Here is a 14892-nt window from a genome sequence, read left to right on the forward strand (position 1 = left end):
AATTGTAAAGAAGGAGTCAGGAGGTAGAGGCTGGTAGGTTTGTGGCCCTAGGGCCTCCTTTCCTTGCTCTGCAAGGCTGGGGGTGCCATCAGCATTGCCTTATTTGATGTGGGAACTCCAGCAACTTTGAGTCAATACATGTCAATAGAGTCATCCATAAAAATGATCATCAAGGATCATTTATTAACTTCACAGATGCGTATCGAGTAAACATCTATTGGCTGCTCCTATGTGTACTTAGGGCTGAGGTTGCCAAGTTGAATGAACATGTGACTGTTCTCTAGAACCTCGTAGACTAGAGGGAAAGACAGGCATGAAAACAGGCAACTAAAATAAAAAGGATTTATTACAGAAGTGTGTACCAGATGTCAACTCTATCTAGGATGGGGAATGGGTTCATTTTATACAAAAGAAGAGGTGGTTACACGGAATCTTTAAAAAGAAAAAAAAAGTGTGGAAAGGAAAGTGCGGAAGGGAGGGGAAGTCATTCAAGGCTGAAAGATGAGCATGCGCAAAGGCAGGGCAGCGTAAAGAGTGATCTCAGGTCTCTCAGTGGGGATTAGCTTGGGTGTTTAAGTTTGTGCATAAACTTCTAAGAGGAGGTTGAAGATGGAAGGAAACTCAGAAGTGATGGAAGGTCGCACAGCTCCTTTGCAGCAGACCCAAATACAAATATACACATTCTATATGAAGCTTTGATGCCTTAGACTTCGATGAGACCATCTAGAAATTTTAACTACTTCTTTGAAAACTAACTGTCCAGTTCTTCTACTGCTTCCCCACAGACCCTCCAAAGCTCAAACCAAAGAAAGGGTAAAGAACAGGTTATTGGAAACAAGAGGTGGCAGACTGAGATCTCCAGGGTGTTTATGTGGTTGGGAGAATAAAGGGTGCAAGGGAAGATTCAGTTAATCCACAAGGTTGTATTACTGGGAGCAGTGGCTCATGCCTGCCATCCCAGCATTTTGGGAGGCCAAAGTGGGAGGATCCCTGGAGCTCAGGAGTTCAAGACCAGCCTGGACAACACAGTGAGACCTTGTCTCTACTACAAATTAAAAAAATTAGCTGGGTGTGATGGTGCGCCCCTGTAGTTCCAGCTACTCAGCAGGCTGAGCAGGGAGGATCACTGAGCCCAGGAGGTTGGGGCTGCAGTGAGCAGTGGTCATGCCACTGCACTCCAGCCTGGGTGACAGAGTGAGACCCAGTGTCCAACAACAACAGCAACAAGGAGTTATCGAGTCCTACATGGACCTCATGTCAGGCACTAGGAGGTCCCTGGATATCAGACAGCTAAAGTGAGCAGGAACATGGTCTGCTGGGTGGGCCTGTCCAGGATGGGGTAGCAGGCAGTGCCACATGCTGGCGGGTGGAAAAATGAGGGGGACTTGGCAAGGCCTATCAAAAGTGTTACAATTTTACTTACTTTTTATTTCTAGAAATTTATTTTAAGAAAATAATCATAGATAAGTACAAAGATTCATCCACAAAGATGTCGTCTTAGCATTTTTAGAACAGCAAAAAATGGAACTAACACGATGCCCAGCATGGGGATTGAGTACACAAATCACAATTGATTTATTATAAATAGCCATATAATAGATATATAGTGGATATAAAAATGTTTCAGAAGTCCTAGTATTATAAGAAAATATGTATTGCAAATCAGTGCATTCACAATCACGTAATGATACCCTACAAGTAAGTAAGTCACACTCATGCATGCACAGATGCACACACTGGGTAGGGGGAAGCTAGATGGATATAGACTGAAATGATATCAAAAGTTTTATCTGAGTGTTGGGATTTTCAGTTATTTTGTTATGTAAAATTTGTATTTCTTCCTGATAAATACCAAAATTTCTACATTTCTACTACAAATAGTTACTTCTTTTAAAATTCAGGAAATATATATTAACACACATCCTATCTTGAACCAGTCTGGTTCAAATTGGAAATCATTCAGAAATAATTTATTTCTGAAATCAAATTAGAAATCTTCACCTCTTTCCCATATTCCTTCTCTAATTCCCTGTCCCCTTGTCCTCTTTCCTTGACTTCACTCTGTGGGATGTCCGGTCACTCCCCTTCTTCTCTATTTGCAGGGGCCACCGATATGGTCCTGGAGGGCCGCCCCTCCTCACTGCAGCCTGCCTGCTCCCCTTCTGCCTCTGTGTCCAGCTGGAGCCCAATGCCTGCTGTTCACTTCTCTAACTTCTGCCTCCTCAGCTGTTCTAGGTAATCCACTTGGGTGTTGGGGGAACCTACAGAAAATAAGTGGTAGAGTCTTTAACCTCATTATTTATGTTTTTTAAAATTTATTTTTATTATTATACTTTCAGTTCTGGGGTACACATGCAGAATGATTATTTACTTTTTTTGAAAAAACAAAAACACTTATTGAGGGCTGATAGCTGCTGGGCAGTTAGGGAAACCAGATTAACAAGTGATGATGGTGGGGCTGCCCAGCCATGCCTGAGGTCAGTAAGGGAGAGGCCATGCAGAGAGGACCAGAGAGGGCTGCAGGAAGGGGCAAGCCTACCAATGAGCCTGGCAGGTGGGGAGGGTTGAGATAGGTAGAGGTGAGCTGAGGGGCACAGCATGAGCAGGCCATGCCCCGGGTGTTTGTCAGGACTGTGGTGTCTGGTCTGCTAGAGCAGAAGGTGTATGGGGAAAGATCAGAATGAAGACAGGCTCTACAGGCCTCCAAATGGTTGCAGCTGTGAAGAACTGCGGGGGGAGGGGGGGTTATCACCATGGTTCCTTTGATTACCAGCAACAGAGACCCACTCAAACCTACTTACACTCAAACCTACTCAGGTAAAGGGGATATTTACTGCAAGTCTCGTGGAATCCAGAAAGCTTTTGGCAACAAGGCCACCTTTTTCCTAATTCCACCTGACCTGGGGCCTCCCTGAGCCTCTGCTCCAGGCTCCCCTCTGCAGACCAGCCTCCTGTGCAGGCTCACCTGCTTTCCCATGGCCCCAGTCACCTTCTTATTCCGTATGACCTCCCAGCTCCCCGGCTTTCTTACTCACTGCCCCAATTCTCAGTTTCCGAGAGAAGAATCTGATTGGTCCAGTTCATCTAATGTTTCTAGGAAGGGGAGTGATTTGCTTAGGGTTTTTCTTCTTTGTTGATCATGAACTTCCCATGGAAAGAGACTGTGACTCTTTTGTTCACCATTGTATACCCCATACTTGTTACAGAGCATGGCAAATTGTCAGTCCTCAAAAGATACTTGCTGCACAATGGATAGCTCGTTTTTGGATGGATTGCGTTCATCGAGCCAGCTGCCAGCATAGGTAAGGGCGGACCTAGAAGGGCAAGGGAGGCCATGGGCACAGGGAGTTTCCTCTGCAGGCCCAGTGGTCCACATCTATGCGGATAGGGACCGTGGTCCACATCTCTAGTGGGTCTCTAGTGCCTATAAGACCATTAGAAACTCATTGAGGTGCATAGAAAATGGTTGCCATAAAGCTCAGATCTAAATTTTCAGCTTAATTTTAGCAACTAGCTTTAGCTAGTTTCCGATACAAGCACTCTAGGCCACTCCTTGACTGGCCTTCCCTTACATCTGCAATTTGATGAAATTTTCAGTTAATGATTATTTTAATGGCCCATTGTCTCTGTGTCTTTGTGAACTTCCTTATATCTTCAAAAACTTATAAATCATAAAAACAAAATTAAAAAGTTATGATTCATGAATTGGGTGAACACAGGTGGCTCAGGGTCATGAAGCCCTGCCTGGATTGACGGCCCATGAGAGTGATTTCCCTCCAGGCTCAAGAAAGAGTAGGGAGCCTCTTACCTCTCTGGGGCCTGGAAGAGAACAAGATGTTGGCTTCCTCAGCATGGAGAGGGCACTGGCCCACTCTGCAGGTCAAATCTGATGAAAACAGAGTAAACACAGGGCCTCTGATCAGACTGGTGATGGAGTAGGAGCAGGGACTCTTGGGTTTTAATACCTCTGTCTCCTGATCTTTAGAATATTCTAAAACATTCAGCTTTACTTCCAACCATTCACAGGTGGATCACTACAGGACTAGCCAGGCTTACATGAATAACGCATTGGGGTGAATTGTGTGGTTGGAGCCAGAATATTCTGGATTCGACCTTCATCTGTGCAGGTAGCTGCTGTGTCCCACAACTCACACTCCTCAACTCTGGAGCATCCCTCTCCTTCACTTTATGTCTGCCTGCATCTGGTCCCCAATCCCCACCTCCAGGCAGTTCTGTTGGTCCTGCATCCCTCTAGGACTGCATCATAGGGTCCCACTTAGAGGTTCCTTGGTATTTGGTGACACAAGAATATTGCACTGTCCCTGCAGCCTTTGGAGTCCAGGCTTGGAGAGGTGGGCGGCCCAAAGCCCTCCCATTCTCCCCTCCCCATGTCCCCCTGCCAACAGCACAGCCTGTAGATAGCTATGCTGGGCTCCCCCGTACCCACCTCTGTCCTGTTGTCTTAGCAACTAGACCAAGGAAGTTGGTTTTCTTGGTATCCAAGGTTACCCCGTGTTCAGACAAATGCTGCACACTGCATGTGCATATGGATCTACAGTTGGTTCAGCGAGAGGAGGCTCACATTGTATATGAGTTATACAGGTTTGTGTAGGTGACATGCTGAATCTGGGTCTGATTTTGAGATACCCTTTCATTTGAATAACCAGAACTCAGGGTTATAACTAGGAACATTGGGTCCTCTTTGCAATGTTTAACATGATCTCTCCCAAATCGACAGAAAGAGCTCTGCTTCTATAGGGGAAGTGGGCTCTTAAAGGAGAGGATGTGAAAGAGGGGAGGGTGGGAAGGGAGGGTGAATGTTATTTATTTTTTGTTTAGGTAAGTGGATTTATGAAAGAAAAGAACAGGGCATCTTAATACTTTAGAGTTGATAGCTCTGGGTGCTATTTCCGGGAGTCTCACAGACCTCTTCCAAGACTGTCAGGGTCGAGCTTCTAGTTCAAGGGACACACATGGCCCACTCTGTATAGTCAGATCTGATTAGAGACAGCAGGCCTTCATGCTGGGAGTTCCTTGGTGTCTCCAACCTGCTCTATCTTGCAGTCTGTAGCTGCCTGGGGCCAAGACTCTTCTCTGGCGGTCACCTGTGAGCCCAGCTCAGCAACACAGGTTCCTCAGGCCCATGGGCCCAGTCCAGTGCTGCTTATTCCCACCTTGACTCATTAACATCCTTTTGTGTTTTCTAAAGCAGTTTCATAGATATCTCATGTGACCCTGCAAAAATCCAACAAGGAGGAAGGTATTATCAGGCCCATTTTGCAAAGTGAGCAAACAGGGACTTTGGGCAGCCCACTTTTTAGCCTGGAGCATTGGCTGAGCCTAGTGACACATGCTCTGAGGCCTGGGGTCCCCCTCTTCTCATTGCCTAACCCCACAACCTGAGAATGTGGTCATGCTGAAGGTCATTTACCATCTCTTGGGAAGAAGAGTTTGCATACCCTCCTTTACTTGGTCTTCTCTCAGAGAAATTGGAATAAATTAAAACAATTCCATCGACTCTAGTAGTATAGTTTTCAATAAAAAATTCATGGCTACAGCATAACCTGGTACAAAATGTAACTGGGTTGAATTGCATTTCAGCAACAGCTACTGGATTTGCTGAGATTCGACTCTGTTACACACACAACAAACCACAGTAAAAATGGGTCATAAACACAGCTTGCATTACAGACGCAACCAGATTTTGGGCACGGCACCAGGATCTTTCTTTTCCTCCCCACTTTATCTTTGGCCAGGCTTCACGTAGCACAACCAGACCTTTGTTCTGCCGCCCACCCTGTAAAGTCAGTAGGGCTTCTTATTCTTGTGTTCTTCCTCCATCTATACAAAAGGGGCTCCCCTCCTACCCTCTAAATCAAGATCCATGCTTGAACTTGAAGGATGAAAGAGAAAATAGAATTGAGTTGCCTTTTGGGGGTTAATTAAAATTAATCCTGGATGGAATTAATGGCTTGAATGTCACAGTATTCCCCTCTCACTTTCCTTCCCCAGTGCTCTCCTTCCCCACGCCCTACTCATATTGCTGTGACACCTGGTTTCCTGATGTGCTGTTGTAGCACTAGCTTCTCAATAGCCTTTGCTCAGTGCATCCATTCTTTCCAGTCTGTACTTCCCAACTCAGTTGGTCATTTGTTCATCAGTTTAACACATTTATTGATCTTTTGCCATGGGCCAGGCATCGTGCTTGGGATGCAAAGATCCACTCATGCAATCAATCAGTCAATTAATTATCAATATTTTTTGAGCAACTATTATGTGTTCTAGGCCTCAGTTTATAGCAGAGAACAAAACAGCCTTTAGAGTGCTTATAATCCACAGGGAGAGTGGTGGAAACAAATGAATAAATTATATACCTAAATTATATACTATTAATATGTTAGTTAAGTGCCTTGAAGAAAATAAACCAGGGAAGAGAGATGGGGAGTGTTAGGTGGGGCATGGCAATTTTAAATTTTGCAGTTACGGGTGGCCTCACTGTAATGATGGCATTGAGTAAAATGCCCTGAGTGAGGGGAGGGAGTGGACATGGATATCTGAGTGTGATAATTAATGTTATATGTCAACTTGACTGGGCTAGGGGAAACCCCAATAGCTGAGGAAGCATGACTTCTGGGTGCATCTGCAAGGGTTTTTCTGGAAAGGATGATCATTAGAATCAGCAGACTGAGTGAAGAAGCTCCACCCTCATCAATGTGGGCAGGCACCATCCATGCCATTGAGGCCCCCAATAGAACAGAAAGGCAGAGGAAGGGCAAATTAGCTCTCTGCTTGAGCTGGGAAACCCATCTTTTCCCATCTTCAGACAGCAGAGCTCCTGGCTCTTGGGAGATCAGATTCTGGGACTTACACAAGTGGCTACTCTGTCTCAGGCCTTTGTCCTTGAACTGGAACTTACTCCATCAGCTCCCTTGGTTGTCAGGCCCTCAGACTTGGACTGCATCACATCACCAGGTTCCCTGGTTCTCCAGACTGCAGTTGACAGGTGGCGGGATTTCTTGGCTTCTGTAATCTCATGAACCAATTCTCATAATAAATCTCTTCTTATATATCTCTATATATCTTGTTGGTTCTATTATATTTCTCTGGAGAATCCTGACTAATACATAGGGGTAGAACCATCTGTCCAGTAAAAGGAACAGCCATGCAAAGGCCCTGAGGCTGGAGCATGCTTGGTGTGGTTTAAGACCTGCAGGGAGGCCAGTGGGTATCTTGTCTTTAAGGGGGAAAGTGGTAGGAGAGGAAATCAGAGACGTAGGGGATGGAGGCAGATGATATAGGCTTTATAGGACATGTAAAGGACTTTGGCATTGACTCTGAGTGGAATGTGAGCCATCCGGGGGTTTAGAGCAGAGGAAGGACATGATCTGCTGTGATGGAAATTGACTGGATGGAGGTCAGGAAAGGGACGAGCAGGGAGGCAGTTGAAAGGGCACTGTAGCAAAGCGTGTGAGAGACAAGGTGGGTCAGGATGGTGGTAGAGCATCAGGAACCTGGTTATGTATGTTACATAGAGGATATGTGACAGGATTTACTATAGAGCAGACATGGGACGTGAAGAAAGAAAGGAGGTATGACTCTAGGATTTTAGGCCTGCACACTGAAAAAGTAAAAATGAGACATAACACCTGCCCTCAAAGAGCTCAGAGGCTAATGATGGGGCCCTCAGGTAAAGGAAAAATTTGCTCTCATAGAAGAGGTGCCATGGTGAAAGTTTGTGCAGGATGCCAGGGAGGAATCTGGGTAGCAGAGGAGGGGCCATGAGTTGAGTCTTGAAGGAGGAGTAAGGAATTGCCAGGCTGGCAAGGCTGGGGAGGATGTTGCAGACTGAGAACCCAAGGAACGAAATGGGGAGTCAGTCAGCAAGCCTGGCAAGAGAGGAAGTAGCCACTGGTGAGTTTGAAAGCCAATGTGGCTTCAGTGTTGCCAGACTCACCAAATAGCCACTCCCAACCCTCTCTCCTCTGACATCTTACCATGGCTGGAAAAGCTAACTCCACATTTTCTGCATCTTCTTTGCAGAGAGGAGTGACCATGTGACACAGTTCTAGACAAAGACAGTAAACTTATATGTACCTGGGGTTTGCAGCAGAAATGTGCTTTGCTCTCTGTGTTAGTCTGTTCTCATGCTGCTAATAAATACATACCTGAGACTGGGTAATTTATAAAGAAAAAGAGATTTAATGGATTCACAATCATGGTGGAAGGCAAAGGAGGAGCAAAGTCATGTTTTACATGGCAGCGGGTGAGACAGCGAGCATGTGCAGGGAAACTCCCCTTTATTAAACCATCAGATCTCATGAGACATATTCACTATCATGAGAACTGCATGGAAAAGACCCACTGCCATGATTCAATTACCTCCCACCAGGTCCCTCCCATGATATGTGGGAATTATGGGAGCTGTAATTCAAGATTTGGGTGGGGACACAGCCAAACCATATCACTCTCCTACTGAAGGAACCATCATTGTTGCCAGGCAGGAACTCTTCATCTTGCTTGGAATACACACATAATGTGGAGTTGCAACCAACACCTTGCAGCCCTGAGGTGGTAACCCACAGCTAAGGAACAGGATGTGGAAAATTAGGATGAGAAAGAGTCTTTGATGAGGGTGAGCTGCTGCTCCAGCTCTGAGTGCCTACTTGTAGACTTCTTGTTATGTGAAATAATTAAATGTCCGCTTGCTTAAGCCTCTGTTAGTTGGATGTTTTGTAAGTGCCCAAAGAAGAGCCAAGAATGGCTCTGACTTGTGGGCAGTTGGGAGACACAGAAGGGTTTTGGGAATGCCATGATCTGATTTTTACTTTAGCAAGATTTTTTGGGCAGTGGTGTGGAGACAGTTTGGAGATGGGAGGCAGGAGGCCCAGGTGGAGGCTGCTACTCCCCTCCAGCAGAGCTCAAGGTGGGCCCTGCCAGAGTGGGGCAGCAGTAGGCCCTTTCCACCACCCACTACCTTGCCTGCTCCTCAGGCCTCCAGCTCTGACCTTCTCCTTCCCACAGCTCCTCCTTTGGTGCTGGGCTTTCCATCAGCCTCCCTCAGGGGCCTCCAAGGGCAGCTGATGTAGCAGGCAGCCTTGCTTGCCTTTCCTTTGGCCTCTGAGACTCATGACTTCCCGGAATTCTGGCCATATCCATCCACATCAGCAACTGGAGGACTATGTGGGTTGGTAGGCCCTTCTCAGGGGCTAAAGGTCCTGATTTTAGACCAGGCCCTGCCTTTATTATGCTGAGGAGCCTTGGACAAATTGCTTTAACTTCTGCAGGCCCTGATTCCTTTCCTCTGAAGTCAGGAGTGTAGAAACAGGTCTCTTTCTGCTCTAACATTCTGCAATCCTGGGACCCCTGCCCTACCCAGGAATCAGAGGCACCACTGTTAACACAGTGGGCTGGTGGTATCTCCTGGAAGCAAACTGCTCCCAGACGGTTTCCTCCACTTGATGCCATGGTGCCTGAAAACCCACCATTGGTTAGTTCATTTTTTTGAGTCCTGAAGACCTTCAGATTTCCTATACTTTCCTACTGTGCATATACCTCTGGAGAGGACGCACTTTAATCTCTTTCTACTTCTTGGTAGAGAGAAAGAAAAGGGAGTGACTTAACAAGAATTTATAACAATTGCCTGTTGTGCCGACTAAGAATCCCTAAGTCTAGCTGGGAAGGTGACTGCATCCACTTTTAAACACGGGGCTTGCAACTTAGCTCACACCCCACCAACCAGGTAGTAAAGAGAACTCCCTAATATGCTAATTAGGCAAAAACAGGAGGTAAAGAAATAGCCAATCATCTATCACCTGAGAGCATAGTGGGAGGGACAGTGATTGGGATATAAACCCAGGCATTCGAGCTGGCAATGGCTACCCTCTTTGGGTTCCCTCCCTTTGTATGGGAGCTCTGTTTTCACTCTATTAAATCTTGCAACTGCAAAAAAAAAAAAAAAAAAAATTATGCCTACTGTGGGAAGAACATAGAGGCAAGATGTGGAGGGGGCATTAACTGGAAAAGTCCAGAACTAGACCACCTCATTTAGAAAACCACTGTCACTGAGTCATCCTCACATTTGGCCTTCTTTCCATTAGCCCCTGGGCCACCCACAAGCCTTCCCAGCTCACACCTTCATGGGTTCTTTTGTTTATTTTTCTTTGAGACAGAGTCTCGCTCTGTCACCCAGGCTGGAGTACAGTGGTGCAATCTTGGCTCACTGCAACCTCCATCTCCCGGGTTCAAGTGATTTTCCTGCCTTAGCCTCCTGAGTAGCTGGGACTACACGCATGCACCACCACACCTGGCTAATTTTTGTATTTTTAATAGAGATGAGGTTTTGCCATATTGACCAGGCTGGTCTTGAACTCCTGACCTCAAGTGATCCACCTGCCTCGGCTTCTCAAAGTGTTGGATTATAGGCGTGAGCCACCATGCCCGGCCCATCTTCACTGGTTCTTAACCTATCTTCTTATCATGACCTCCCTCCCTACTGCCCTCTCCCCACCTTAGATAAACGTTCAGGTGACAATGCTCTCATTTCTTTTCAAGGCCTTGGAAGCCTTGGCCAAACATTTATATTTGTTAAGAGGGAGGTTACATGAGATGCTGGAGAATTTTTCTCTAAAGAATTCCATCCCCTAATGCACATACTCCCTAGGCCTCCCGGATGCATCAGTTGTGTCATGTGACAGCATGGACTGGGGTAGACCATGGAAGAGCCAGCTGAGGTTTCAGTTCCCAGTGGAGCCTCTGAATGCAAGAGAAGAACAGCTAAGAATATGGAGGACCCTGAGTGCCCGAAGCTGGGGGAGTCTTCAGCTTGGGTGCCTCTTCCACACCTGCCCTAAGTACTGTCTTTATTTATGGGGAGGCAGGAAAAGGGGCAAGAAGAAATTCTCATCATTGCCCTTGCCCACTGTAGAGGCTTCTGTGTTGCATAACAAATGACCACAAACTTAGCAGCTTTAAACGACACCCATTCATCATCTTGGAATTTCTGTAGACCAGAAGTCCTGGCATGGCACAGCTAGGTTTTCTGCTTAGAGCTGAGATCAAGGGGTCAGCTGGGGCTGTGGTCTCATCTGGGGCTCTAGGTCCTCTTCCCAGCTCGCTCAGGTTATTGGCAGAGTTTACTTCTTCCAGTTTTCCTGCTGGCTGTCAGCGGAGTGGCTGTCAGCTCCTAGAGGCCTCCCTCCAGTCTGAGCCTGTGGCCCTCGTAGGCAGTTCACAGCATGACAGTGTGCTCCCTTCTTTGAGGCCATCAGGACAAATCCCTCTCTCCAGTGGGCTAAGATGGAGTCATGTATAACATAAAGTAATCCCAGGAGTGACTCTCTCGGCATATTCCCAAGTCCCATTCACATCAGGGGAGGGGATGACACGGGGCATGTCCACAGGGAGGGGGTGGGCGGGGGAGTCGGGGGAGATGGGAATGTTGGAGCCATCCCTTGATCCTGACCACCCTCCCAATGTCCCCTGTTCCCCTTCTCTCCCATCTGCTCTCCACACCCTTTGGGATTTAGTCTCTAGGTACATCTTACCTCTAGGAAAATGTAAGTCATATTCTAGAATGGGAATTTTATTGTCAAAAGGGAATTTGAACTGAATCAAAAGAATTTGAACAGAACTGAGCCTCCCTCTTTGGCTAATCTGAAGTGCACCTGATTTGTTTACCGAAATAGAGGACTCACTATGTTGTAACCAGTGCTACTAAATGCTTTATGTACATGATTTTATTTAATTTCCTGGACATCTCTATGAGAGGAGCATTGGCGGCCCCATTTTACAAATGAGGAATCTGAGATTCAAAATGGACTCACTTAGGCTCACAAAGGTAACTACAGAGGAGGCAGGTTTGTCCAAAGGCGCTGCTCTTCACTGGTGCCCATCTTACCTCTGGCTATGACATCATCTTGGGGTGGGCAGGGTGTGGAATGAGGAACAACACAGCCACCTCTCAGAACGACATTCCTCCATTGCATTAAATAGGAAACCACTGTCTTCTGAAACTATCTGTGTCTGGTGCACCAGCCAGCCCCTTTGGCTCTCTCTTCACAGCGAATGATGCCTGATATTTTCAAATCAGCTTTCAGTCATCTTCATTAGAAACACAACTTTGAATCAAAGAATAATTTTAAACCTCAGAAGTAAGAAAGAAAAGACTGTGCGTGGGTTAAACCTGAGGTGGAGCTTCTAGCATTTAGGACTTGCAAAAATTTTGGATAGGAATCAGTGGAGCATGAAACAGCAACACTGATGGGCTCTAAGCAAAGCACGCACCTTCCCTGGGTGATCTCCCAGGACTTTGCATGGGCCAGTGGCGGCCTGGCCTAGGTTCTTCAGAATCGAGCTCTTGATCTGCTGCTGCCAGGATTGTGTCCAAGGCTTACAAAGGAGGCAAGAAGTTGCTGGCATAAAATGGCCACACTGCTTTGTTTTAGAATCTTTGTCAACTTGTGTGGACTGAGAAAACACCCTAAAAGCCTGTTGGACATGTCAAGGGAAGTCACTTAACACCATGGTAAAAACATAGGCTTTAGCCCAAGTCTTGTGTTTAAACACCTGCTTTGCCATTTGATAGGTGTTTGACTCAGGACATTTTTTAATCCTCTCCAAGTCTCAGTTTCCTTATCTGTAAGTTGGGGGTATGAACACCTACCTCTGGGAGGATTCAAATGAGATATTAAATCCCTTAGTAGATAGTAAAGCCCCTGCCCACAGGACGCATGTGACAGAGACACTGCTGTCGTGTTGCATTTGCAGCTGTGCTCTCCTGCTCGACACTGTCTGCCACATTCCAGCAGAGGTGCCTCCATCAGCCAGGCAAGAAATGCCACATCTTCTAAGAAGTCTTCTTTTAGGAGAGGCTCCTAACCGTGCCTGGGATGCCAGGGAAGCTTCTAGGGTGAGAAGATGTTTCAGAGCGACACTGATGGAGGCACAGGAGTTGGCAAAAGAGGAGAAAGTGGGAAGGTGCTCCGGAAAGGGGGAGTGAGAAAGGGGGCGTTGCCAGGGCTCTGCAGTTTGTTTTTGCTGGAAATGAAGCCTCTTATGTTTTCCCTGCCCTGATGTCTAGAGGAACGCATGTAGGAGTTTAAAACATGTGAAGTGTCGCCATCTGTATCGCTTAGAGATGTAAGTGTTTTGAAAAGTTTGTATGTAAATGTGAGTGAGACAGACACACACACACACACACAGAGTTAAACACAATTACTTTAAGGCAACACTCTCCAAAAGTTCAATGATGCCTCCAGTTTTAGGAATCAGAACCTATTTTATAGACCGCGACTGAGAGCAGGACGCCCTCTGCTTCTTCGGTGCAGGCGCCCCTGAGAACAATACTTCCACTGCATTTTCCCAAGTGGCAAACCTTGTAGTTGAAGATCCAGGTACTGCGGTGAGCACATTACTGCGTTATGTCAGATGCGTTATTATCTTTATCCATCTTCCCTTAACTCATCTGCCTGCAGTTTCATTTCATGTAGACACAGAATGTTTGACAGGAAGACTGATGAAGTAGCAGCCCCTTCTGCGTAACTTGGCAACCGACCGGGGTTTCTGCTTGTTTGTTTGTTGCTCGTCTTGTTTTTGTTTGTTTGTTTTGTTTTGGTAGAGACAGGATCTCACTATGTTGCCCACGCTGATCTGGGACTCCTGGCCCTAAGTGATCCTTCCATCTTGGCCTTCCAAAGTGTTGGGATTATAGGCATGAGCCATTGTGCCCAGCCTTGTTGTTATTTTTGAAGCCTGAATGGAGGCTCTTTGTACCCTCCAACTTGTGACCTGGAAGGGACACAGAGCAAAGAACTGTCCTCACTGGCCAAGGGGGACAGAGTGCTTACAGCTTTGGGTCATTACAGCTGTTCCTTGCCAGCTCTTTGATTTCATCTCCCTATCGTTTTCTGCTTTGTTTGCATCCTTTCTCTTTCAAACTATGCCACATCGTGACACCATCTGAAAACAAAAGTATCTTCCCCCAGATCTCTTGAAAAAAGAAGGAAAAGAAAGAAATAGGTAGAAAGTTAACCCAGTGGAGACTAGGGCAGTGTCACTGTTCTTGGACCTCCAGATACTACAGTTCTGTAGGCAAAGACTGCAGCAAAAGAAATCACACACCAGCTTACTCGGCAGCCAGATCAGACTGGGTGGAGATTGCAGGCTGTCCCAGCAGGGTCAGGCCTACAGCTGACCAGCTCCACCTGCCTGCTTCTCTCTTCCAATATGCCATTCTGAAGCTTGGGTTCCTCTGCATTTTCATCCTCTTTGCCTTGCAGTCTGCTGTTCACATGCAGGGGTTACTATGGTAATAGGAAAACCCTGTCGTGTTAACAATTTTTTACGGAGAGAGTTTAGGCAGAAGCATCAAACTGGTGTGTTTATCTTTTTATGGGGATAGAAGCCTGTGTTCTGAGTTTCCAAGGGAGTCAGAGGAGTTCTGGTCTACCCACAACTGTCCAAACCACCTGGAAATGGGTCATTGCCTGGGCCACTGGGTGGGGATGGACTGCCAGCCCTGGGTGAATCAGAAACGTCTTTGCCAGGAGCAAGGAACAAATAGTCCTGGCCTTCATTCCTTTCAGATATGGTAAGACAAGGTGTGCTGATCACCTCTGCACTGAGAAATCTGCCAAGTGAGTAAATGAACACATGGCTTTGTTCTCTGTTTATTCTCTCTGTTCTCTTTTCTCCTTTAAGAGTTGTGTTGAAAATGGGATCTAATTAAACCTAAGAGCTTCTGTACAGCAAAAGAAACTATCAACAGAGTACACAGACAACCTACAGAATAGAAGAAAATATTCACAAACTATGCATCTGACAAAGGCCTAATGTTCACAATCTATAAGGAACGTAAACAAATCAACAAGGAAAAAACAAATAACCCCATAAAAA

The 14892-nt window shown here is 46.3% G+C and overlaps 1 long non-coding RNA gene across 2 annotated transcripts in view; it reads left to right on the forward strand.

Moving 5' to 3' along the window:
- Positions 1 to 14892, forward strand: part of LOC107984005 (uncharacterized) — a 79776-nt gene that overhangs the window by 49912 nt on the left and 14972 nt on the right. Inside the window, exons 3-5 of one of the 2 annotated variants that reach the window (XR_928469.2) lie at positions 2103 to 2235; positions 3207 to 3302; positions 14698 to 14728. This is a non-coding gene — a long non-coding RNA (uncharacterized LOC107984005). Of the gene's footprint in view, positions 1 to 2102; positions 2236 to 3206; positions 3303 to 14697; positions 14729 to 14892 lie in introns of those variants that run through there. The other variant, XR_928468.3, reaches the window with a different exon arrangement.

Source organism: Homo sapiens, chromosome 8 (genome assembly GCF_000001405.40).
Source record: "Homo sapiens chromosome 8, GRCh38.p14 Primary Assembly".
In the NCBI taxonomy this organism is placed as follows: Eukaryota; Metazoa; Chordata; class Mammalia; order Primates; family Hominidae; genus Homo; species Homo sapiens.